The sequence below is a fragment of the Homo sapiens genome, chromosome 10, assembly GCF_000001405.40.
Source record: "Homo sapiens chromosome 10, GRCh38.p14 Primary Assembly".
NCBI lineage: Eukaryota > Metazoa > Chordata > Mammalia > Primates > Hominidae > Homo > Homo sapiens.
Genome location: NC_000010.11, coordinates 112,424,412 through 112,447,745, shown reverse-complemented (window position 1 = coordinate 112,447,745; position 23,334 = coordinate 112,424,412). Strand labels below are relative to the sequence as shown.

Sequence of the window (23,334 nt, the reverse complement as noted above, 5' to 3'; positions counted from 1 at the left end):
AGACGTTAAGAAACGTTTCCAGGTTATGCAAGTTACAAGAAGGTAGAGCCGGGATTCGAACTCAGATGGCTCAGATTCCGAAGGCTCTTTTCACGGCACCCCACACCCGAACTTGACTCCTTACCCTCAACCAAGCCAAGCCGTATCCCTCCTGGGAACAGCCGGCACCACCCACTCCAGCCTCGCGCCTCATAGACACACTTACTCGGGCGGCGTTCCACCGCCCGCACCCTCCCAGCTCTCCCCAGCACCCTCGTCCAGCCGGGCAAGGCTCTCACCAGGCGGGAGTCGTGGGACCCTCGCAATCTTGCTGGTGATCTCTGCAGTGAGCACCGCGAAGTCCTGCTCGTAACCTTCGAAGTCGGACGACATGGCGGCTCCGGAACGAGTAGCCCAGGCCAAAGCCTAGGTCAGGGAAAGGGCCTCGAGGGGCAGCGAGGGGCCCCGCGGCTTAGGAACCCCGGAAGGTGCCCCCGAGAGCAGAACGGAGAACCGGGGACAGCTCTCAACCCAGCCGCTTCCTGGTTGTTCGTCGCAATCTCGGTTCTCCGGAAATTGGGTTGCGTGCGTGCTTTATTTTCCGCTCCGACTTTAAGATAAGTAAGTTCGCAAAGGAAAAGCGCCCCAATTAGTGCCTCCCCCCAGAAAAGCGTATGAAAATATGCAAGTTCTGAGGGATCATTAGAAGCGTTTTTTCCCCCCTTCGTGTTCTGGGAATCGGCTCCGGATCCACACGCTACAAGGCACAGCAGCTTGCTTCCGGAGGGAGGTTTGAGGCGGCGAACCTCCGGAAGTGACAGTAACAGAGACTGCGCAGGGGGCCTGAGCGGGAGAGTCCTGGCGAGGGCGCTGGCCGAGAGGTGCTCGGCTTGTAGCAGGTCCCGCACTCCAGCCTCTCGCTGCCAGGGTTTGCTCTCTGCTTGTCCTGGGCTGAGGTGTCCATGACGGAGTCATCCAAGGAGGAAAAAATCTGTTCCGGGTGAGCCCAGGCCGCCCCGGATATGCGATGGCTGAGGAGCAGACACCAGGGACCACACTGAGGTGGGAGTCAAGGCAGGGAATATAAGCACGATTTTGGTGGTCTTTGTCCCACCAGAGTGGGAGCAGGCTCTCCTGAATGTTGAGACCAACCTGGCTTACCAGGATATTTCTTCCTTGGGTGAGGATTTATTTCTAAGCCCTCTGCTCCATGACTCGGGCGGGAAACTGAGGCACAAGTCAACAGCGTCTGCTGCGTGGTAGTCTGTATTATCCATGTAGCTCAGATCCTCTTCCAGATCTTCAGATCCAGTCCAGGCAGAGATGCCCTTCCACAAATCTCTCCGGAGCTCGCCGCCCTGCCTTCCATTTCCCTCGCTCCTGGAGGCACTTCCTCTTCTTTCTTCCCTCGAATCTTCTAATTCAGGTTCTTCTCATATACTCTTCTGGTCATAATTTCACACACACCACACACACTCTCGCTCTATCTCCTCCCTTCCTTTCCTTGCATGCTCTCTTTGCTTTCACTGTCGCTCCTTTACTTTTGGGCCAAATTGACTGTTCTCTTGATGTTTGGGTGGCGGGGTGGAGGAGACTGCAGGCAAATGGCATAGACCATGTCTGACTCATACTTGGCTTAATTCAAGACTTCATAAGAGGCAGCTTAGAATTTCATAAAGGGAGGTCGTTGACTTGCCTTCTATTCTGGTTCACCTGTTACTTGTGACCTTGGTCTAATCACTCAGCCTCTCTAAGACAATTTCTGTTCTATGAAGAAGGAAACTGAATTAGATCAACTCTAAGGTCCTAAAATTCTTTGTCTTCTCAAACTATTCACTAAGCGTTGGATGGTGACAGTCCCCTGACAAGCGGAGAAGGAATAAAAAAAACTATTTTGGAATCGTGTATCCAGTTTGCATGCCATTCAAACTTGTACCATATTTTGGATAAGTCAAAAGTAGTTCTTTTTGACATTTGACAAGATATGCATCCCAAAGTGTAGTGCACTTGTGAGATGCTGTTGTGTAGGTGTTTATTGTAGTTAACAAGTATGGTATGCAATAAAGGTTTTGTTTTGTTTTGTTTTAACTGAACTTTCCCATTTTGTTTTCTTTAGGTTGGGTTTCAGACCAAGACACTGGATTCTCCTAGTTAAGATAAAGAGCTTTGGGTGCCTGACAGTGAAAATGGTGTAATCTGCGTTAACAGTTCACAGCTTGAAGGCATGACAATTAAAGAACACACATGGACTTGTGGCACATGGAAATGTGCGCACAGAAAAAGGAAATCTATAATTCTTTTAAAGTAGGAAGGCATTCTTCCTTGCCAAAATGGGTACATTCTGTTCGGTTATCAAGTTTGAAAATCTACAAGAATTAAAGAGACTGTGTCACTGGGGTCCCATCATAGCCCTTGGTGTTATAGCAATATGTTCTACCATGGCCATGATTGACTCTGTGTTGTGGTATTGGCCCTTACATACAACTGGAGGAAGTGTGAATTTCATCATGTTGATAAATTGGACTGTCATGATTCTTTATAATTACTTCAATGCCATGTTTGTCGGTCCGGGCTTTGTCCCTCTGGGGTGGAAACCGGTAAGAAAGATTCTGTAAGACAATGAACTTTAATGATAATCGTATATTTGGTTTTTGCCTTATCTACTAACCAATAATACCAAACACAGCCTACTGTTTGTCCTCACAGAGACTAAGTATATTACTCTAATCACTGATCATTTAGGCTCGGAGACTTTATTTCATATCTGTTTGAACACATTGATCCAAAATAGCATTTTCCAAAGCAATTTTATTGAATATTTGCTCTGCATTAAAAAAAAGATGGAGGTGGGGTGGAGGTGGGATAGGTTCATGGTCAAAAGTTTAGGAAACATCACATGTCATACACAGTGAGGTTTGGCTGTAGTACCTTTTTTCATGTAATACATTAACATCCCTTAGAACTGAGAAAAACGCTTTAGAAACTGCTGGTTTAAATCATAAAGTTTTAAAATCATTGCACTGAAAATATAACATTGGGAAGTATAGTCCAAATCCATTTATAGCTTAAAAACTACTGGGAAATTTATGCTTATGAATGTCCATGTTTCCTGCTAAGGGACCACACCTGATGGCTTGTCAGAAAGGCAGAATCTTGGGCTCCACTTCAGACATACTGAAGCAGAATCTTTATTTTAATAAAGTGCCCAGGTGATGCTTAGGTATATTAAAGTTCGGGAAGCACTGGTGTATATCATGTGCTATGTACTATTCAAAATGCGTACAGAGGAGGGTAAGATGTAATTTGAACTCTGAAAGAGCTTATAACCTAAGCAAGAAACAAACGCACTTGTGCAAATCACTAAACTATAAAGTAGAACGTGATGGGTGCTGTTAAAGTTAGAAGAATTGAGCATTGTTAGTTGGGGACCTGAGGGAGGAGTGGGAATTTCCAAAGGAGATGGGGAAGAGGGCATTTCAGGTTGAAAGAATGGTGGGACCACGTATTCAGAAACAGTAGACAGCCCTGTGTGACTGGGGAAAAGATCATGTAGGGCAGAGACAGCTGAAACAAAGGCAGATTGTGACAGTCTTAAATACATGAGAAATTGTAGACCATAGAAAGTTGTAGGGGTTTTCAGGCAGAGTCTGACACAGTCAGAGGTGTATTATAGGAATATTATTTTGACAATACACGGTTTGTGCTGAAGAAAAACTACAGTAAAGGAAACTAGTTAGGAAGTGATTAAAATGGCCCAAGAAAGGGGTGGTGACGGGTAATGTCAAGGAGGGAGCAGATTTCAGTAGGACTATCAACTCACGATTAACTCCTCACTCTAAAATACCTGCTAAGTTGTCAGCTACCTTTTTCTGAACTCCTGAATCCACTAAGATTTGGGGTAAGTAGAACCAACTAGTGACACTGAATTTAGGTGGAGCACAAGGAAGAAAAATTTAAAAGGACTTCTGGGTAATTGGGAAAGTGATGCTGCTCTTACCAGAAAACTTATTTAAAAATATTTTAGCTCAAATAAGAGGACTGGAAATGCAAGTTAAGATTCTCTCCTTCCCCTATCGCCCATAAAAGAAAATCATACCGTAGGAATCATACTTATATTCAAGTATCCGATGATGCATTTTTGTTTCTGTTTTGCTGCCAAGGAAATTTCTCAGGATACCATGTATCTCCAGTATTGTAAAGTCTGCCAAGCATACAAGGCACCACGTTCACATCACTGCAGAAAGTGTAACAGGTACCTGTCTTTCTTGCTGTTCAGCGAGGACTGATCAACTAATTACTGATGTTTTCATTGTTGCTTATACTACATTAGTGCTACTTCTATTCACTGCAAGGTTACCATATTATAAACAATATTGTCAGAATACTTGTGTCCATAATCGCCATTTTATACTTAAATTATCTAGATAATAAATAGATTTAATTCTTCCTTGTTACAAGTGAAAAGATTTTCCAGAAAAATACAGATTTACTTTGCCTCTTGTCCTACAAGAACAAGGGAAAAAGGTATAAACCTTAAGTTTGTTTCCATATATCAAGATTAATTGTGTTAGTCAGCTGCCATCTGGACTAACTTTAGAATTGTTCTGAGTCTAAATTATAAGGGAGATCTGCTTTTCCCATTACTTATTGACAAACATTTACACTTTATACACATCTAATAATCCAGGTGCCTATTATCACAAATGTTTTAATATCAAAAACTTAGAAGAAAACTGACTATTAAAAATATGAAATAACCTGTGACCTTTTTTAATGAACAGCTATAATCACTGATTAGTAAGAAATTTAGAGAACCGTTGAAAGCAAATAAAGTTTTGTTTCAGGCCAAAACATTGTCTTCTATCAACAGTACACGGCAAGACTTTGTTTATTATACCATATCTTATATTCTGGAGTTAGCTTGCTTAGCTCAGAGATCCATTAACTAAAGGATACTATGAGAACAGGAAGGAAGTTACATGTGTCTATTTGAGCCCATTAACCCCACTGGAGGTCTATAAGGGATTTGTTGAGTCTCTATTGTAGGTCACTTGGGTCACTGCACTTACAAACTAGAAGAAAACCAGGAACCATGCTCATTTCTTTATAATGAGCATTATAAAGAGACCCTCTTTCAGTGGGTCTCCTGACTTCTTTAAACAAATACTTGTAGCTGACATCTTTTCCTCAGAAGCTGTTAGAAAGCCTGCCCTTTCCTGTGCTGTTTAGAATTTAAAAGGAGTCACTTAATTGTTTAAAAGCTCATAAAGATTTTTCTTTCTGTTCCATGAAGTATAATTCTCTCGTAGCTCATGGACATGCTGGATTCCTATTTGCTTGATCTTTTGAAGACCAAAGTTATTTAAAGTAGACAGGATTTTCTGCCTCATGTTTTATGTAAATTTTTCTTGTTAGATGTGTGATGAAGATGGACCATCACTGTCCTTGGATCAACAACTGTTGTGGTTACCAAAATCATGCTTCGTTCACACTGTTTCTCCTTTTAGCACCACTGGGTTGTATCCATGCTGCTTTCATTTTTGTGATGACTATGTACACACAGCTTTATCATCGGGTAAGTGAAAATGAAAATGTTTTGTTATAAAATCATCCATGCAAGATTAAATGGTAGTTATCAACATTTAAGAGGTTCCTTTTGGAAATATGCTTTCTGTGATTTAGTTGGGGAAATAGAACTTTGTTTTACTGGTATATGGGTTCCTTTTTAGAAAGCATTAAAACTTAAATTTTAAGATGAGGAAAGAGTATTTGTTCTGAAAACTTACATGCTGTAGTTGAAGGTGATAAATATTTTAGTACTGTATATGTAATTTGTTAGACTTCAAACTTAATAGTTATGGAAAGAATAGAAGAAAAAAAGACAACACTAGTGCTTCCTACTTTCATCCCATTCATGTGGCAAGTTGTAGTTCTTTGTTCATTTCTGATTCTAGTGCCCTGGAAGGTGGCTCATGGAGCAGATGCATACCATAAAATATAAACAGATTAAACCAGCAAGAGATCAAGTTGATTTATGGGCAAGTAGTCATGAGATAAAGTTCAAGGGACACAAACCTCCCTAAACAGGCCTTGAAAGTAAACGAGAGACACACCTGATGGGACTGCCAAACTGGAGAGTCTGTCCTTTGGGGAGGGGACAGCCCATATTTGATCTGCTAGCTTGTGGTGTTTGGAAATTCTAGCCCAGAAAAATCTGAAAATCTGGATTTTTATGTGAAATCTCTTGATTTTTAAATGTTGGCACCTAATTCTGAATGTTGAAACATTATGCAGGCCAGGCAGCACACATCTGTGGCCATATTTGGCCTGCATTTTATCAGTTCTTCATCACCATTTGTAAAACATGAGGGAAGAAACAACTGAATCCTAGGCAGCACTTGTCACTGTGGAAGAATACTGCGATGTAGAATAGCAAGAGAAGAGAAAAGACATAGTTCTGGTTTAGATTAGTGTCTAGTGTTGTTTATGTATGTTAATGTTGGTAAGGTCTCCTTGACACTTTCTGAGGAAACAACAACAACAAAAAGTAACATTTGAGAAAACTAAGAATGATATCCTGCACATCGGTCCGAGCTCATTACTATATTAATTAAAAATAGCTGGCCCAGCTCAGTGGCTCACGCCTGTAATCCTAGCACTTTGGGAGGCTGAGGCGGTGTGGGTCACAAGGTCAGGAGTTCAAGACCAGCCTGGCCAATCTGGTGACACCTGTCTCTACTAAAAATATAAAAAATAAGCCGGGTGTGATGGCACATGCCTGTAGTCCCAGCTACTCGGGAGGCTGAGGCAGGAGAATTGCTTGAACCTGGGAGGTGGAGGTTGCAGTGAGTCGAGATCGTGCCACTGCACTCCAGCCTGGGCGACAGAGTGAGACTCCGTCTCAAATAAATAAATAATAAATAAATAAAATAAAATAAAAATAGCTGTGTTTGCGTTGGCCACAGGGCCACGTTGTTATCTCTTTGATCAAGTTGTTTTACGTGTCACAGTAGAGTCTGACCAGTTACCATAACCAAACATTTTGTGCGTGTGCTATTGTTGCTGCGATAGCTCTCCTTTGGGTGGAACACAGTGAAGATCGACATGAGTGCAGCCCGGAGAGATCCTCTTCCAATTGTTCCATTTGGATTAGCTGCATTTGCTACCACCTTGTTTGCCTTGGGATTAGCTTTAGGAACAACCATAGCTGTTGGGATGTTGTTTTTTATCCAGGTAAGCATCTCAATTACCTCAAGTCAAAAGTGTCAAGTTGTTGGGACTGATTGCACAAGAAAGAGACAAAGCCTGTATTTAAGTGTCCAGTATGAAATGGAAATTATTTTTGCTTATTTCATTTAGGTAACTAATCTCCTTTGTATTCGTCAGATAATTTTGATTTAATTTTGCCAGAATTTCTAGGTATTGATTTAGTTTTTAAAATGCTAACTTCAAGTTAGGTAAGTTCTGGAGCACTTCAGAATTGAGAGAGCTCTTCTCACCTGTACAGTCTCTCTTGCTCTTCACATCCACCCCAATAGAGGAGTCTTACTGTTTTCCCTTCCCAACACGTGATTAATTCATTGATTCTCAAAAAGGTTAAGTGACTTACCCAATGTCACCCATTCATGTACTTGGTAAACATTTTCCCTTCCCGACAGATGATTAATTCATTGATTCTCAAAAAGGTTAAGTGACTTACCCAATGTCACCCATTCATGTACTTGGTAAACACTAATGTTATTTTATAATAGTATATATTTAATAATAGTAATCATAATATAGCTAACATTTATTGAGCACTTATTATGTGTAAGGCACTGTTTTAGGCACTTTACATGTATTAGCTCATTTAATCTCCATAACAGCCCTATGATAAAGATGCTATTTAAAGCCTACTCTGATGAATCACTTTGCTAATTTCTAAGGCTGCATAAATGATAATGAAGAGGTAGCTGCCCTTAGGAACTGACAGTTAATATTAAACAGTTAACTAATACAGGGCCATATGTACATCATAGATTTATGTGCACAGTGCTATGAGAACACAGAGGAGGAGGACCTGGCTCTGAAGGGACCAAAAACCATTCTTTTTCATTCTTTTTTTTTTTTTTTTTTTTTTTTTTTTTTTTTTTTTTTTTAGACGGAGTCTCACTCTGTCACCCAGGCTAGAGAACAATGGCGTGAACTCAGCTCACTGCAACCTCCGCCTTCCGGGTTTAAGCAGTTCTCTGCCTCAGCCTGCCAAGTAGCTGGGATTACAGGTACCTGCCACCACACCCGGTTAATTTTTGTGTTTTTAGTGGAGACGGGGTTTCACCATCTTGGCCAGGCTGGTCTTGAACTCCTGACCTTGTGATCCACCCACCTCAGCCTCCCAAAGTGCTGGGATTACAGGTGTGAGCCACTGTGCCCGGCCCAAAAACCATTCTTATGACTTATTGCATTCACGTAATTCATTCATTCATTCATTGAAGGCCTACTGTGGGCCAGGTATTATGCTAGGCCCTTGGAATATGATGAGGACTCCTGGGCCAAGGCTGTTTATTTTTTTATTGTTGTTTGTTTGTTTGTTTGTTTGTGACAGAGCCTGGCTCTGTTGGCCCAGGCTGGAGTGCAATGGCACGATCTCGGCTTATTGCAGCCTCCACCAAGGCTGTTTCTAACATACTACACTGTCTCTCTGAAGGCACAGCCAGACTTTAAGGGAACTCTTGGTTTTAAAATAATCTGGTTTTGTTTATACTTTATTATCGTCTACTAGCCTGGGACCAAATTCTTTGAAAAATTTTCCCCAATGCCTCTAATTTAGAATCATATTAGAAATAAACTAAGATCCTATAATATAAAAGCCTATATATGTGGAATCAGTCATATCTAGGAAAATCAAATAATAGAATAAAGACTGAATACATTCATTATTTTTAAGGCAAGTGAAATATTGAGGTTGACTGAAATGAGTCACTGTTACTTCTCATAAATAGATTAATCGTAAATTTAAAGTTAGTTAAAAATAGTGATAAAAGATTTTAATAGCAAATTATAAGTAAGCACTGATTAAATGGATTATATCAATGTTTTATTAAACCTTGCTCTGAAAATAGTACTTATGACATAAAGTTTGATTAACATACTAGATTCAGATTTGATTATGGATGGGTGTAATCATTGTTACGGAGAGGTACCGTGGTGCAGTAGTTAAGAACAAGGACTTTGGAGTCAGACGGATGACATGGTAATTGTGGTACTTAACCTCTGTTATCCTTGGTATCTTTGTCTATGGAATGGAGTAATAAAAGCTATCTCAGAGAATTATGAATATGATAATCTTAAAGGAACCAAGGTCGCATTATTAAATTTTACTATCATTTAATTTCCAGATGAAAATAATTCTCAGAAACAAAACTTCTATTGAGTCATGGATTGAAGAGAAGGTAAATTTTAATAATTGTTTCTTCAATATTAAAAAAGTATATTAATAAAGGACTGGTAAAGTCCTGAATATTAATAAAGTCTGTTATTAGACCGGATTAACGAAAAGTGCCTAAAAGTGAAAACATGGCTGCCAAATGGCTACCGTAAGTCATTTGCATGCCACATAAAAGGTGAATATAGGAAACATTTTTGTTCATTCTGTAACTCCCACAGAAAGGTGCTTCTCATACACCCTGAGTGGTCGCAGAGGCCTAAGCCACACGTCAAACCATCTGTTTGTTGTCTCTTAGACTAGAGGAGAAAGCAGCCCATTTGGAAAGGAGCTTCCACCCTACCAAACTGCCATCAGGTTTTTCTCAGTGTTTTAGACATTCAATGAAGCTCCTAACATTTTGCTTGTCACAGACCTCACAATGTCCAATACTTCATACTGTCCATTGTGATTCTAGCATGAAACACAAATCTGACTACCCTGCTCTGTGTTTAAAACTTCTCAGAGCCTCACCATTCCTGTGGCAGGGGTTGAAACCCAAATACCTGCAGGGTCTGGGCAGATAACGTCCATGAAGGGGAGCAAGCCTGTATACCAAAGAATTGCCTGGCAGACCAAGCTGATTGTTGCCACAGGGGAATATTCACAATTTCCAAATTACAAAATAGGGAGAAGAATAGCATCGTTTTATATCTTTACAAATCTCTTTAGTATCTTTGACTTAAGAGAAGATGGTTGGATTCTCACTTCTGCATTCAGTCTGTTGAGATATGTTGCTTCGATTGAAGTATGTGAAGATCTAGCCTCACACAGATAAGTAGGTAGAAAAGGATAGAATATTTTAATAGGCCTTTTACATGATAATAGTGGATGTTCTTCCGTATTACATTGAAAACTTGACAAGTGATATTTCTTATCAATAAGATTTTTATACCTTTTTATTTTAAAACTCATCAGTCTATCTTGCTCTTTGAATTAATCTTTTACCAGTATGTGGTTTTATGTAACATCAGGCATCGGTCATTTGGCAAATACTAGTTTACTGTGTTATGTAGATTTTGCAAACGTTAAACACCTTTCATTATACAATATCCCAAAATTGCATTCACGTATATCAATATATCATTTTTATGAGAAAAAATCCTTAAGTATTGGAAAGCTGTCAGGCTCACAGTGGTAGATACAAGGTTTTTTTTTTTGTAATTCTAGTATACATTTGAAAGCCTTAATTTTTTACTATTAACCCATACTGTCAGTCATTTCCCTTGAAGTGACTGCCTGACTGTTCGTTTTTGAGAAAATGTTCACCAAGTCCTGAAGTCTGAATAACCTTAGTTTGCTATATTACTCATTCTTTCAAATAAGAATAGTGTTACATTAAAAAAGCTGGCTCTACAGCTTTTGTTAGCTTACAGCTTAACAACTATTTTCCTTGAGATGATCATTCTACTTGGGCACGCTTTATGTATACTTCTCATTTTGTCACACAGACTGTTAAAAATAAAGGACATCTCCTTGAGAGTTGAGATTTAATATTTAAAAACAATTTTTACTGCTTCATCAAGGACATTCTTACATGGAATTGCTCATAATGACTACCAACACAGTTTGGTGCCACTGCCTTGGTTTTTGCTAAGATGCCAACAGTTTTATTCACCATTGCAAATGTCAATGCAACAAAAAGACAAATAACATTTCAGTATTATTATGAAAATAGCTTGGCCTTGCTGACCAGCAAGAAAAAGTCCTGAATACTCAAAGTGATCTATAAAGCATGCTTTGAGAACCACTGATGTACAGGTTGAAGTCTGAGCTTCTTAGCTTCTACATAAGTAAGACCTTTTATGACTTCTTTTTTTGTTTTCTGGCGACGGAGTCTCGCTCTGTTGCCCAGGCTGGAGTGCAGTGGCACAATCTTGGCTCGCTGCAACCTCCACTTCCTGGGTTCAAGTGATTCTCCTGCCTTAGCCTCCCAAGTAGCTGGGATTACAAGGTGTATGCCACCATGCCCAGCTAAGTTTTGTATTTTTAGTAGAGACAGGCTTTCACCATGTTGGCCAGGCTGGTCTCAAACTCCTCACCTCAAGTAATCCACCCGCCTTGGCCTCCCAAAGTGCTGGGATTACAGGCGTGAGCCACTGCACCTGGCGGACTTCTTTTTATCTACTTCTCCAGCCTAATTTCCTACCCTTCTCTACCCTGTCTCACACTTGATACTAAATTACTCATAGTTTGTACATCTTATGCTTCTGTATCCTTGCACATGTTGTTCCCTCTGCCTAGAATGCTCTTCCCTCTCTTTTTGCCTGATTTCTTGCTTCTCAAGACTTAGTTAAGGTATTGTTTCTCCCAAGGACCCTTCCTGGATACTCCCTAGACTTGGCTAAGTACTTTTTGTTTCCTTTGTTCCCTTTTCCCATAGCATCTACCACACCCCTTCATCACCTTTTAACACACAATATTGATAGAATCCTAACTTCATTGAGTGTTTCTGTTAGGCAAAGACATGTCTTAGTCATTTTATAAATTCTCTTATATTTACCAGTTTTTCTTTGTAAATAGCCTAGAACTCTTTTCTTTGAAATTCAGTCCATTTTGAAGACTCTGAAGCTGTGTTTATAAAAAAGAAAATGAAATTATTCTTTACTTTCTGGGGAGGATGGATTTATATAACTTAATAGATTCATATGCATTATAGCTTAATAATTATTTTAGTAAATAGTTAACTTTAATATCACTCAACAAATAATTGCAACATTTTCCATAAAACATTGTCCCCTGATAATCAAATATTTCAAAGTATCATTTCTAATAAGCATAATAAATATATTGACATTAGATTAACATTTTTTTGTTTGTTTTTGTGGATGACCAAGGCTGCTTATAAACCGCCATGCTACATTTAGAAATTACCTCAGATGAGATTGAGTATGCTGAATGGTATGGCCATAGACTAGAAATTATTTCAGAACGGGCACTTTATTGCTGAGTAAAAAATTCAAACAAATGACCATATTAAATTTATAGGAAATGTATAGAAATTACCAGACACTATATACAACAAATTTGAAGGGATTTGTATACTTATTGTTAAAATAAATAATGTATCTTTGTACCACTAGGTGTCAGTGGAACTTAAGAAATCCAAAGCCAATTTATTTCCTCAAGTTAAAGCTAACAGTTTAAATGCCTGGAATATATGCAAGCTGAATAGTTATGTACATGCATAACATGTACATATAAATGCATATATAAATGAGTTATGTGTACATGTGTGATAGTATAAAAAAAGAAAGAAGATCTCCTGTATATATCTGCTAGCTTTAAAAAATGTTTTTCATAAAACAGCTCTCCTGTTACACCTTTCCTGGTCATTCCCATGGGCATCACTGCCACCCAGGATATAACTGTTACCCTCTGATACAACTGTTACATTCTGGTGCACCCCACAAAACAGTTCTATCTTGAATAAAACGGTTCCATCCTGAATAAACCTTTACCTTTCTCCTGAATCTGTTTATCTGCATCCCTTCTATATACCTGAATTGTTTTGTATTGCTGAACAACTAGGAGCATTGAGGACTTTTTATGTATGAGATAAAGTTAGCTAACTTTTAATAAGCCTTTATGAGTGCTTATTCCTAAAGAAACCCTGTCAGATATTTCCTAGGTAATCACATACAAGGCTGGTGTTCTATATCAAGTTCTTCCTATATTGTGATGAAGTTGTCTATTGCTTCCATGTACACTAATATTACAGCAAGGAGGAAGTATTTTTATGAATGTTAGAAACTTGAGAAATAAGTGTTCTCAATAACATATTACTGCAGGCCACTTAGACAGAGGCACCTGCCATCTTATATCTTTGTTACCCACAGGCTAAAGATCGAATTCAGTATTATCAACTAGATGAAGTCTTTGTTTTTCCATATGATATGGGAAGTAGATGGAGGAACTTTAAACAGGTATTTACGTGGTCAGGGGTCCCTGAAGGAGATGGACTTGAGTGGCCAGTAAGAGAAGGCTGTCACCAATACAGCTTAACAGTGAGTATTTTTGTTCAAATAGCCCTTCCTTTTTGCCTCGCCTTCTTTCCCTTAACTCCCCCTCAACTCAAGTGACATTTTGTAGTAAAATAAGTAATATGAATGTTTTCACTATGTCAAAATGAATCTAATAATTCTAAAGCACTCCTTGTATCATGTATCTCCCTTTATTTCAATATCTCCTTAATTCTCTATACCTGTGAGATAAAGTCCTGATCCCTTAACATAGTTTTATGAAATCTGGCCAAAAATTACCTTCCAACTTACAGTAGCATATGAATTCCTTATACATTCCTGTCACCCAACTTTGCCCACAATTTTTTCCATCTTATATGACCTCCACTCTATCTAAAATTATTAAGACTCGTTCCAGTCTTACCTCTTCCATAAAGTCTAACCTACCCCCATAGACTCATCTGAATGTGACATTTAATCACATACTACTCTATGGTAGCTCATGAAGTCTCATATTTTTATTTAATTCTGCTATCTTATATCTGTAACTTCATAAGATTCTAGGACAGAGATCATGAGTTATCTTTATTTCTCCTATTATATCTAATATAGTGCTATTTAATAGTAGCTATGTCAAATTAAGTTATGATGACTTTTATTCATTCAACTTCATTATTAAATGTTCTTCATTATTCATTTGTAGTTTGTCTGCCATGTCTCTACAGAATCAGTGAATCTCAGTGTTTTCACCTGAGAAGCTTCATGAGGGCGGAGAATATACTCCCTGATCCCTGGGCCACAGTAAGCACTCTAGGAATATACACAGATGAGGACATTAGAGAGTGAATAGCGAGAAGAAAACCTCACTCTCAGCCTCTGGTTCTTAGCATAGGGCCTTTTTTTCCATGCTAAAACAACCTGTGGCCTTTAAATTATCAGCAACTTGAAATGCTGGAAAATTGGGGTTTTGCCATATCACTCTGACAGTTGATGAGGAAAGGCGATTTTTCAACATTGAGACAAGAGACTTCATTTTTTTCTTTTTATTTCTTCCAAACAGATAGAACAGTTGAAACAAAAAGCAGATAAGAGAGTCAGAAGTGTAAGTACTTCTTTTGCAGTGGTAATTTTTTTTTCTTTTGTTAGGCTCTGTACTTCCATACAGTTTTTTTAATTGACTGACTAGAAACCAATTGTTGGCCTTTATTAAATAGTATTCCTTAATACATTTGTTGAAATTTGATGCAGTTAACTTTTGTTTTTATTTAAATAATTGGGACTAGAGGTTGGGAGGAATTTAGTCCATTTATATTGCCAACATAGGAAAATAATTATCCTCAATACAGCTCCTTAATGTGAAACCTATCCTTACAACTATGTTGTTGGATATGATGGCCACCAGCCACATGTGGCTGTTTTATTTAAATTTGTTAAAATTAAATCAATTTAAAAATTCAGTTTCTTGTTTGCATTCACTACATTGTAAGTGCTCACTCAGTAGCTACATGTGTCAAGTGCTGCTGCATTGGATACTACACATACAGAACATTTCCATCATGGCAGAATGTTCTTAGCCCTGCTCTAACTCTAATTCTTAGCTATGGGCTTGAAAAGAGGAGTAAGAAAAGCCTTGAGAACTAGAAACATTAGTTGCCTCCCAGGGAACTAGGTGGATGGGGAACTGGGAGGTTCCCCTAGAAGGGGAACTAGAAGGCTTGTCACTGGATATTTTGGATCTTGCTTTAAAATTTGAAATTCAGACTTAAAACTCAGATATCATGGGTGAATATTTAAAGGTTTCTTCTGATCACTGACGACAGGTTCGCTATAAAGTAATAGAAGATTATAGTGGTGCCTGCTGCCCTCTGAATAAAGGAATCAAAACCTTCTTCACAAGTCCCTGCACCGAAGAGCCTCGAATACAGCTGCAAAAAGGGGAATTCATTTTAGCCACAAGAGGTTTACGGTAAGTAATAGGAAGTACTGCATTTCTTCTTCAAGGACAAAATTAATATCTAGCCTAAAAAATTAATTTTCATCTTTTAAATATTTCAGATACTGGTTATATGGAGACAAAATTCTTGATGATTCCTTTATAGAAGGTATGGAAATGGAAGGGCATGTTTAAAGGACAAGACTATTAGCAATAATTCCAAATTTTACAAGAATAACTTTTATAAACCAATCATGCCTAATGCATTAGGGGAACTGCATAGAAGGGTATATCACTAAGCAACAAAAGGAACTTCCTTATATATTTCTCTATAGCTCTTGTATTTTTCAGGTCTTTTTAATGATAGCTAACATTTGAGCTCATAACTATGCGAAAAGTACTTGTATAAGTGCTACCCTTAAGGTGTAGAAGTCCCCAAAATACTTCGGAGGTAGGCACTATTATTTATATTTGATTGAGGGAACTGAAGCACAGAGAGGCAACTTGCCCATAGCTATGCACTGAAAACAGATGGAGCTAGGGCTTAACCCCAAGCAGTCTGACTCCAGATTCTATGCACCAAACCCCTGTACTATTTGCTGCCCCCACTTTGAGCATTTCTCTTAAGTTGTTATAAAAACCAGTAGATTGAAACTTTGTGTTTTTTTTTTTCTTAAGTTTTATAATTGTTTCTTTTTAAAGTAAAGATTAGCTCGGGATGTTCTTTAAAAAATAGTTGGGGTTAATCATAAATTAACCTCTTATGACGGCCGTGATATAGAAATGTATATGTTAGGCCAGGTGTGGTGACTCATGCCTGTAATCCCAGGACTTTGGGAGACCAAGGCAGATGGATCACCTGAGGTCAGGAGTTCAAGATCAGCCTGGCCAACATGGTGAAACCCTATCTCTACTAAAAATACAAAAATTAGCCGGGCATGGTGGTGTGTGCCTGTAATCCCAGCTGCTCCAGAGGCTGAGGCAGGAGAATTGCTTGAACCCGGGAGGCAGAGGTTGCAGTAATCTGAGATCGTGCCACTGCACTACAGCCTAGGTGACAGAGCAAGACTCCATCTCAAAAAAAAAAAAGAAAGAAATATATATGTTAGAAAAAGTCTAAAAAGGAAATTTACAAAGACTACAAGAAGATAGTTCCCTGGAAAAGACAGTGTGATGGTGTGCCAAAAACACCTTTCCTGATCATACACATATAAGTAAACACCCATACCGAGTTCCCCCTGACTCTAGTTAGGAGCTGTCTTTAACCACATTAGTCCCTATTCGGGATCATCAAATTTGGGAAATACCTGTTCCTAGCTTGTTATGAACATTTAAAAATCTTATTTTTTTCCCCTTCAAACTGTGCTTATAATAGATAGCAAAGTGGGGAATAAAAGTCTAACTACAAGCTTATTAATTTGAAGTAATAGGACTTACTGCTTTCAGTAATGTCACTGTCATCCATCAGACTATTTCACCTCAATTTCATTTTCTCCCTCAGGTGTTTCAAGAATAAGGGGTTGGTTCCCTAGAAAATGTGTGGAAAAGTGTCCCTGTGATGCTGAAACAGATCAAGCCCCAGAGGGGGAGAAGAAAAATAGATAGCTGCTGTTAAAACAAAATTATCCTTTAAGTCTGCTTAATTACTTGAAAATTGTACATATTACTAAAGAATTATGCAATGAGCCTACTCTGGTTAAGATGTTCTTTTCCTCAAAGGTGCCCTAGTGCCATGATTTAAATATTTTTATTACCATTTTGAAATGGAGAAGCCATTCTGCATATGCCTTTGAATTCCTGCCCCTCTTTACCACCTCTTCCTCCCCCTCAAAGGAAAAACATTTCATCCAAGTAAGTTAACGGCATTTTCTGTAGGATTTTCTTATGCACTGCACACTCTGGACCTCACCTGCAGATACAGTTCCCCCCTTGCCAGGAGCATCTGCATGTGGTACTTCTCTTTTCCCTCAGTTGATATTTCTTATATGATATTCTAGATACTATAGAACTCAATTTGTCAGATTCAGTATAACCTCAGATTTTGTTACCTGTCTTTTAAAAATGCAGATTTTGTCAAATCAAATAAAGATCAATGGATGTTGGGTATAATCAGTTTTTACTTAAAGCATTTTTCTTTTTGCTGACTAAAAAGGTTCATCTTAGTTCCTTATGGAAAAACTGCTCTGCTGCCCTGTGGACAACTGGCATCTTAAAACGTGGCTTAAGACATGACACACTTGCTTCAAGATATTAACCCTATTAATGGGATATTGCGGTCATAGTGATGGCAGCGGATGGCAGTGGTGGCCTGAGGGGTGTTGAGGGGGAGCCGTGATAGGCAGGAGCCAAGCGTAGCTACAGCTGTCCAGCCGTGGCTGCGGACCCGGGCATCCTTGTGCTCTAGGGGGCCGAGGGGAAATACCCCCCCCACACCCCCCCCCCAACAACTGCTTGGCCTCTTCCTGCTCCTGGCACTCGCTCTGGAGCAAAGGTGAGGCCAAGCCCGGGTGCTGTGAGGACCTGGCCAGGTGTACGTGAGCTCTGAGTGGTGCTGACACCAGCGCCCTGCCGCCTAGGCCCCCTCTGGACTTTGGGCTGCCAGCCACAGAGGATTCCAGCTGGGGAAGCAACACCCCAAGGATCCCGTGGCAGTAGTGTTCTAGACTTTAAACATAGTGATATCAAACTACTCATGTACCCTTGAGTAAAAAGCTGAAGCTTGTGTGAGTGGTAGGATCCAAGCTGGTGGGCTTGGATGCTTAAATTGGGCTTGTCTAAACATAACAGTGGAATCACAGAAGGAAAGAGAAAGCCTATTTCTCTGGACTTCAGAAACCTTTCCAAGGCAGGGAATGTGAAGCTTTGGGGGCCAGGCCTGTAATAGTTGAGGATAAGGGAAGAGCACTTGGGAATTCAGCAGTGAACAGACAGGTAAAATATATGTAAGATGGAGTCATGTTATTGTGAAGCAAGAAGGTAGGACAGTCTTGAGTTGGCATTTGAAGCAGATGAGGGGACAAGTCATGTGCTTTGGGATATTTGCATTTTAGAGACAGCAGCAAGAACAAAAACAGGCTGGACCTGTGTCTGACACGTTTGAGAAACAGGAAGGTAACTAGTGAGGTTCAGCTGTAATGCGTGAGGGGAGAATAGGAAAGGAAGTGAAGGCGAGAAAGTTAAAGTGATAATGGGAGCTAGACTTTAAAAGTTAATTCCTGCCTACCCTTTTGTTTCAGATCCTTAAGAATAGATATTTCTTTGGCTTTTCTGGGCTCAAAATCTAGAAAGACCATCCAAGAACATTCTCTTTAACTCCAGTTGGAGGCCAGAAAAGAATACTATTAATATTCAAGATTATAATTAGAGTACAACAAAGATGGTAAAAGAATGGATATGACTTGTGCTCAGTTGGAGTTTTGGCTCAGCTGGTATTTGTTTTATTCTTTACAGCTATGGGATAAGAAGGTTTGGTCTTCAGAACTTACTTTTCTTCACTAACCTGTTCGCAGACTAGAATCATCTGTGGGTCTTCTTAACAATCTCAGTGCCCAGGCTGTATCCGGCCATTTAAGCCAGAATCCCTGGAGTGGCAACCAGGCATTAGTGGTTTTTTTGTTTTGTTTTTGTTTTTTTTTTTTGAGACAGAGTCTCACACTTTCACCCAGGCTGGAATGCAGTGGTGCGATCTCGGCTCGCTGCAAGCTCCGCCTCTCGGGTTCATGCCATTCTCCTGCCTCAATCTTCTGAGTAGCTGGGACTACAGGTGCCCGCCACCACGCCCAGCTAGTTTTTTGTATTTTTAGTAGAGATGGGGTTTCACCATAGTAGCCAGGATGTTCTCGGTCTCCTGACCTCATGATCCGTCCGCCTCGGCCTCCCAAAGTGCTGGGCATTAGTGTCTTTTTAAACTTCCTAGATAATTCTATTGTGTACCCAAGTTTAAGAACAGATACTGTACTTGATTTTTAAGGGGTCCTTGTTTAAGACTGATTTTCATCATGGTCCATGAGGAAAGAAACACCACAACGTAAGTATCTGTAATAGTTTATTTTAAAGACTTTACATTTACAAGTAGAAACAACATGTGTTATCTGTGGGTAAGGTAGAGCAGGAACTCTAATCCAAGGGTGGGGGAGATCAGTTGGTTCCTTCACAGAAAATAAGCCTGTTGTGTGGGCATCTTGCTTGCCTGTAGATCTTTGTTCCCAGTTCAGGAGGTTTTTATTCAGTGCTTGCTTCATTTACTGGAAAAGTTCACTGGGCCCACCTGTCAACTCCTTCCCCCACAGCTTCCAGCTCAGCAGCAAACTGTAGGGAACAGATTTACTCCCCAGTTCCTACTGTAAATAATGCTTTAAGAACAGCATTCCTTTTGGACAATATGTCATAGACCCAATTTTTAATACTCCCAAGTCAGATATCTAACTAGAGAGTTTAGGAAATGTTTGGTATGATCAAACTTTTCCCTTCAGTACACAATTTAATTTACGCAGAAGAGCATCGGAGACATTTGTCTCATAGATATGATTGACATGAGTGATAGGCTAAAACTAAAATTTTAGTGGTTTGTGGAGTGGCTAGAAAACATGAATTGTAAGCAGTTTTTCAGAATTTAAAAATCTCTTAGTTTGAACAGTAGAAGATGTAAATAAGCATAGAGACTGTTGGCAAGTTATGTTTATCACAAAACAAAGAAGAAGGCACAGAGGGTCCCTTTGACCCTTGAACTTGTGGTTACTAATAGTATTAAGGTTGGAAATCATGAGGAAGGACACAGAACATAAACTGGGATCTTGAAGACAGGCATGTTGATAAAAGTAGCCCTGAAGCCTTAATATTAGCAACATCGAAGATGGGAAAGACAGGATTGATTTATTTGGGAACTAAGTTTACACATTATATGTCTCAATATAAAACAAAAGCTATGGCTTTAGAGTTTAACAGGTTAAAAAAAAATAGGAGGAAAGGCAAAACAAATGTAAGAATAGTTTTTAATCCATTTTCTCACAAGCAGTGCACAGTGGGCCGGCAGGTACTTAAGTACCTTATCCTAATCCTGGATGTGCTCATACAGGCTGTCAATTTGGGTCCGAAAGTATTTGGAAAGCTCTCCTCGCTTTGCTTTCAATGTTGGTGTCAAGAGCCCATTTTCAATGGAAAATGGCTCTGGATGAAGAAAAATGGCTTTGACCTGGAAGATGAACACACACACATCCATGCTCATTAGTGATTTGGACTTCTCTGCAGAGCCCCCTGAGTGCTCTGTGAAGAAAGTGAGGTTGATGCAGTGAAAGGGTAAAGGTAACAGTAACACATGCCCATTCCCACAAACATAATTTAAGAAAGTAATGAGTAGGGAGAAGGGAGAATGGACAATAAACAGCAAAAAAAGGGCGCTGTACAAGTAACTACAAAAGGTCATTTTGTAGTTAATGGCACAAAATCTAAAATCAATTCCTTAGAAATTATACATTTAAACCTCATTAGATGGAAACTTTAAACAAAACTTTCTGACAAGAGGCCAGTATAACATCAGTGGTAGCACACACCTGTTCAAAAGTTTTAAGGCCACTTTCTTTCCCAATTTTCTGCAAGTCTTCTAAAATGGCTTCCCTTACAACCTAAGAATACAAAACATCACTTAAAGCATGGCTGTTTCAAAAAGCCTGAAGGGCTAAGCATGAACCAACTCAAAGTGCCTGTCAAAGCCATGCAGTATGAAAGCAGGAATATAAAACTATGCACAAGCACATTATATGCCCAATATTGAAAGAAAAACTGAGAAGAAAAGGCACATCTAAGTGTTAACAGTTTTCTCTGAATAGCATTTTTACTCTTCTTTCCCAATCTTTTCCCACAATGAACATATTATTTTAAATAGAAAAGAGAGTTTTATTTTTTAAACTCTCCATCCTATCCCCGAGTCCCATAAAACTATTCAGTCTGTTTGGGCTGCAGCCACTTGTGACAGATGCAGGAACTGGTGAGGCATCCTCTCCTCCACGATGGGCCCATGGGTGTGCATAAAGCTTTCCTAGGCAAGACTTACTTGGTTTTGGCACAGTTCCTCAAAGGAGCCCTTCACCCCAAGCTTGGCTGCAAATGAGGGAAGTACATCTGTGTCAGGAACCACCACTCCTACTAAGGATGACTATGGAAAGGAAATAAAAGGTGCAAGGGCATGAGAGAAGTTATGTAGGGATGTCCCCCAGTAGTTAAATAAAGCAGAATTATGTCATTGTAATAGTTATTTCCCCAAAACCTTAAATCCAGTACTAGTGTTCTTTTCTCACCATATATTTTCAACACCATGGAACTGTAATCCCATTTTCCCACTCAATATCTCATTACAAAGATGTTCCATTCAAATCTGATCCTTCAACATTAAGCTTAAAGCGCCTCTGGCTTGTCCATGTCAACTCTCCCCTTGTCCCCTAAAAGCTACATTTAAGCACAGTGTGTATAAAACAGTTCGTTGTTTTGGGATAAGGAGTTCCTTAAAGCTACGTTTAAGCATAGTATGTATAAAACAACAGTTTGTTGATCAAACTTTTGTTTGTTGCTTTATATATATTGCAACAGTTTGTTGTTTTATACATACTGCTCTTAAACATAGCTTTAAGGAACTCCTTAAGGAATGGGAACTAAGTGCAATGTGGAGCTCATTTTTTACTGAATCATTACCTTTTAGTATAGCCATTCTAAACAATTCTACTGACTTGTGTACAACGTCCATCATAGTTTTGAAATTTTTTAAATTGAAATTGCCTTATTTGAGGTTTGGAATGTAACTTCATTTTTTTTTTTTTTTTTAGTTTTATAAGCTTGGATCTTCTCATTCTGAACCCAACTATACAAATTTCCTGTAGCTACAAGAACCAGCATGGTTTGTGACTGAAATGGGCTATTGTTAAAATGATATATTACCCGTAAGCTCTCCCCGTGTACAAAAATTTGTAACACTGGTTGACTCCTGTTGTAGATATTTTCTATCTTCTCTGGTGCAATGTATTCTCCTTGGGCCAGCTTGAAAATGTTCTTTTTACGGTCGATGATCTTCAGAGTTCCATTCTACATGAGACAGATAAAAGTATCAGTATTTTTGAGCCACAGAGATGATATCAGTGGGGAGAGTGGTGAAGTCACAGTCATCTTTCTTCTCTAAAGCTGATTTCTCCAGAGACTTTTGAGCTGTCTTTCATTTCTCTTTCTTGGCTTTGGTGAAAGGGGAGGGAAGCATCGTGCAGCAAGAACCTGTCTTTACTGTATATCTATGTGGAGAGTCAATGCGCAGCCTTAGAGAAAGTCTCCTGGATCTACTGGAGTTATGCAAATTGATGCCTCATCCAAGGAAGAAATTGCACAGCTCTCAATTTCCAATCACTAATTTCCAATTAGTTCATTTTCAGAACTCTCAGAAATAGAGGTGTTGTCTTTTGTTTAGACTTTTGATTTGATTTGAATAGTTCTCCCACCACTTGACTCCCTGTTATGTTTTCCTCCTTGTTAGATCCGGGAGCAGGCTCAAACAGCTCCACTGTGCTAATCAAGCAACTCAATTACTGGGCTTGTTAGGACAGCAACAGGGCTGAGAGGACTCTGACCAGCCACCAAAGGTCATTTGCAGCTTCATTTCTCTGAACTAATTGGTCTGAGGAGCTTAGGTCTTTAGGGATTTGAATTGTAGAATTGGGACAAATGGCAAATAAAATCCACATGCTAACACCCTAAGTAGGGCGACTAACTAAACCAACACTGGAACTATCACAAGGCCGACTTGATAAATTAGCCATCAATTCAGCCTAACGTTCATTATCTGAAAGTGATTAATAAGGTGCAGCCTTCTATAACCCTGGTGTGGGGACATATCTGTTGCTTACATCCTAGGCTTATTAGAGTGTTATTTAATTCTGTTACTAGACAGAAACAAATATATTAGCAAGATACTACCAAACCCAAATCAATAAAATGCATCGTTAGGACCAGTGTTCTTAAAA

General features: G+C 39.3%; 3 protein-coding genes across 45 annotated transcripts in view, besides 2 other annotated features; 1 reads left to right on the top strand and 2 right to left on the bottom strand.

Moving 5' to 3' along the window:
• Nucleotides 1-758, bottom strand: part of VTI1A (vesicle transport through interaction with t-SNAREs 1A) — a 408,381-nt gene extending 407,623 nt beyond the window's left edge. For 10 of the 11 annotated variants that reach the window (NR_134521.2, NR_134522.2, NM_001365713.1 and 7 more), the window contains exon 1: nt 279-531. Coding sequence is in view for 8 of the 11 variants with exons in the window: in NM_001365713.1 (NP_001352642.1) it covers nt 279-372 (94 nt within the window). In the remaining 3 variants the exon portion in view is untranslated. Of the gene's footprint in view, nt 1-278 lie in introns of all 11 variants that reach the window. The other variant, NR_134523.1, reaches the window with a different exon arrangement.
• ZDHHC6 (zDHHC palmitoyltransferase 6) lies at nt 174-23,334 on the top strand. Of its 30 annotated transcripts, none has more exons than NM_001363544.2 (12): nt 174-600; nt 2,096-2,576; nt 4,140-4,231; nt 5,395-5,554; nt 7,051-7,212; nt 9,357-9,410; nt 13,282-13,449; nt 14,465-14,506; nt 15,225-15,370; nt 15,460-15,506; nt 19,308-19,364; nt 22,153-23,334. In NM_001363544.2, the coding sequence occupies exons 2-11, from the start codon at nt 2,310-2,312 to the stop codon at nt 19,319-19,321; spliced, it is 1,152 nt and encodes a 383-aa protein (NP_001350473.1). In that variant the 5' UTR covers nt 174-600; nt 2,096-2,309; the 3' UTR covers nt 19,322-19,364; nt 22,153-23,334. The 30 variants fall into 30 exon arrangements, 28 of the variants coding, with proteins under 28 accessions (NP_001350473.1, XP_047281615.1, NP_001338011.1 ...); XR_007061983.1 differs by lacking the exon at nt 174-600 and adding an exon at nt 832-1,041 and having other exon boundaries at nt 16,839-19,364; NR_147045.2 differs by lacking the exons at nt 174-600; nt 19,308-19,364; nt 22,153-23,334 and adding exons at nt 832-1,041; nt 14,130-14,205; nt 16,839-17,446.
• Nucleotides 466-725: an enhancer, noted in NCBI's record as "active region_4066". NCBI's record gives its function as "activates an Ori minimal core promoter by ATAC-STARR-seq in GM12878 lymphoblastoid cells {active_cell/tissue: GM12878}" and the evidence as "EXISTENCE:reporter gene assay evidence [ECO:0000049][PMID:35858748]".
• Nucleotides 926-1,045: an enhancer, noted in NCBI's record as "active region_4065". NCBI's record gives its function as "activates an Ori minimal core promoter by ATAC-STARR-seq in GM12878 lymphoblastoid cells {active_cell/tissue: GM12878}" and the evidence as "EXISTENCE:reporter gene assay evidence [ECO:0000049][PMID:35858748]".
• Nucleotides 19,370-23,334, bottom strand: part of ACSL5 (acyl-CoA synthetase long chain family member 5) — a 54,261-nt gene continuing 50,296 nt past the window's right edge. For 3 of the 4 annotated variants that reach the window (NM_203379.2, NM_203380.2, NM_016234.4), the window contains exons 18-21: nt 22,265-22,408; nt 21,387-21,488; nt 20,887-20,958; nt 19,370-20,528 (exon numbers count right to left, since the gene is read on the bottom strand). In NM_203379.2, coding sequence (NP_976313.1) covers nt 20,388-20,528; nt 20,887-20,958; nt 21,387-21,488; nt 22,265-22,408 — 459 coding nt within the window. In that variant the 3' untranslated portion in view covers nt 19,370-20,387. The remainder of the gene's footprint in view (nt 20,529-20,886; nt 20,959-21,386; nt 21,489-22,264; nt 22,409-23,334) is intronic. The other variant, NM_001387037.1, reaches the window with a different exon arrangement.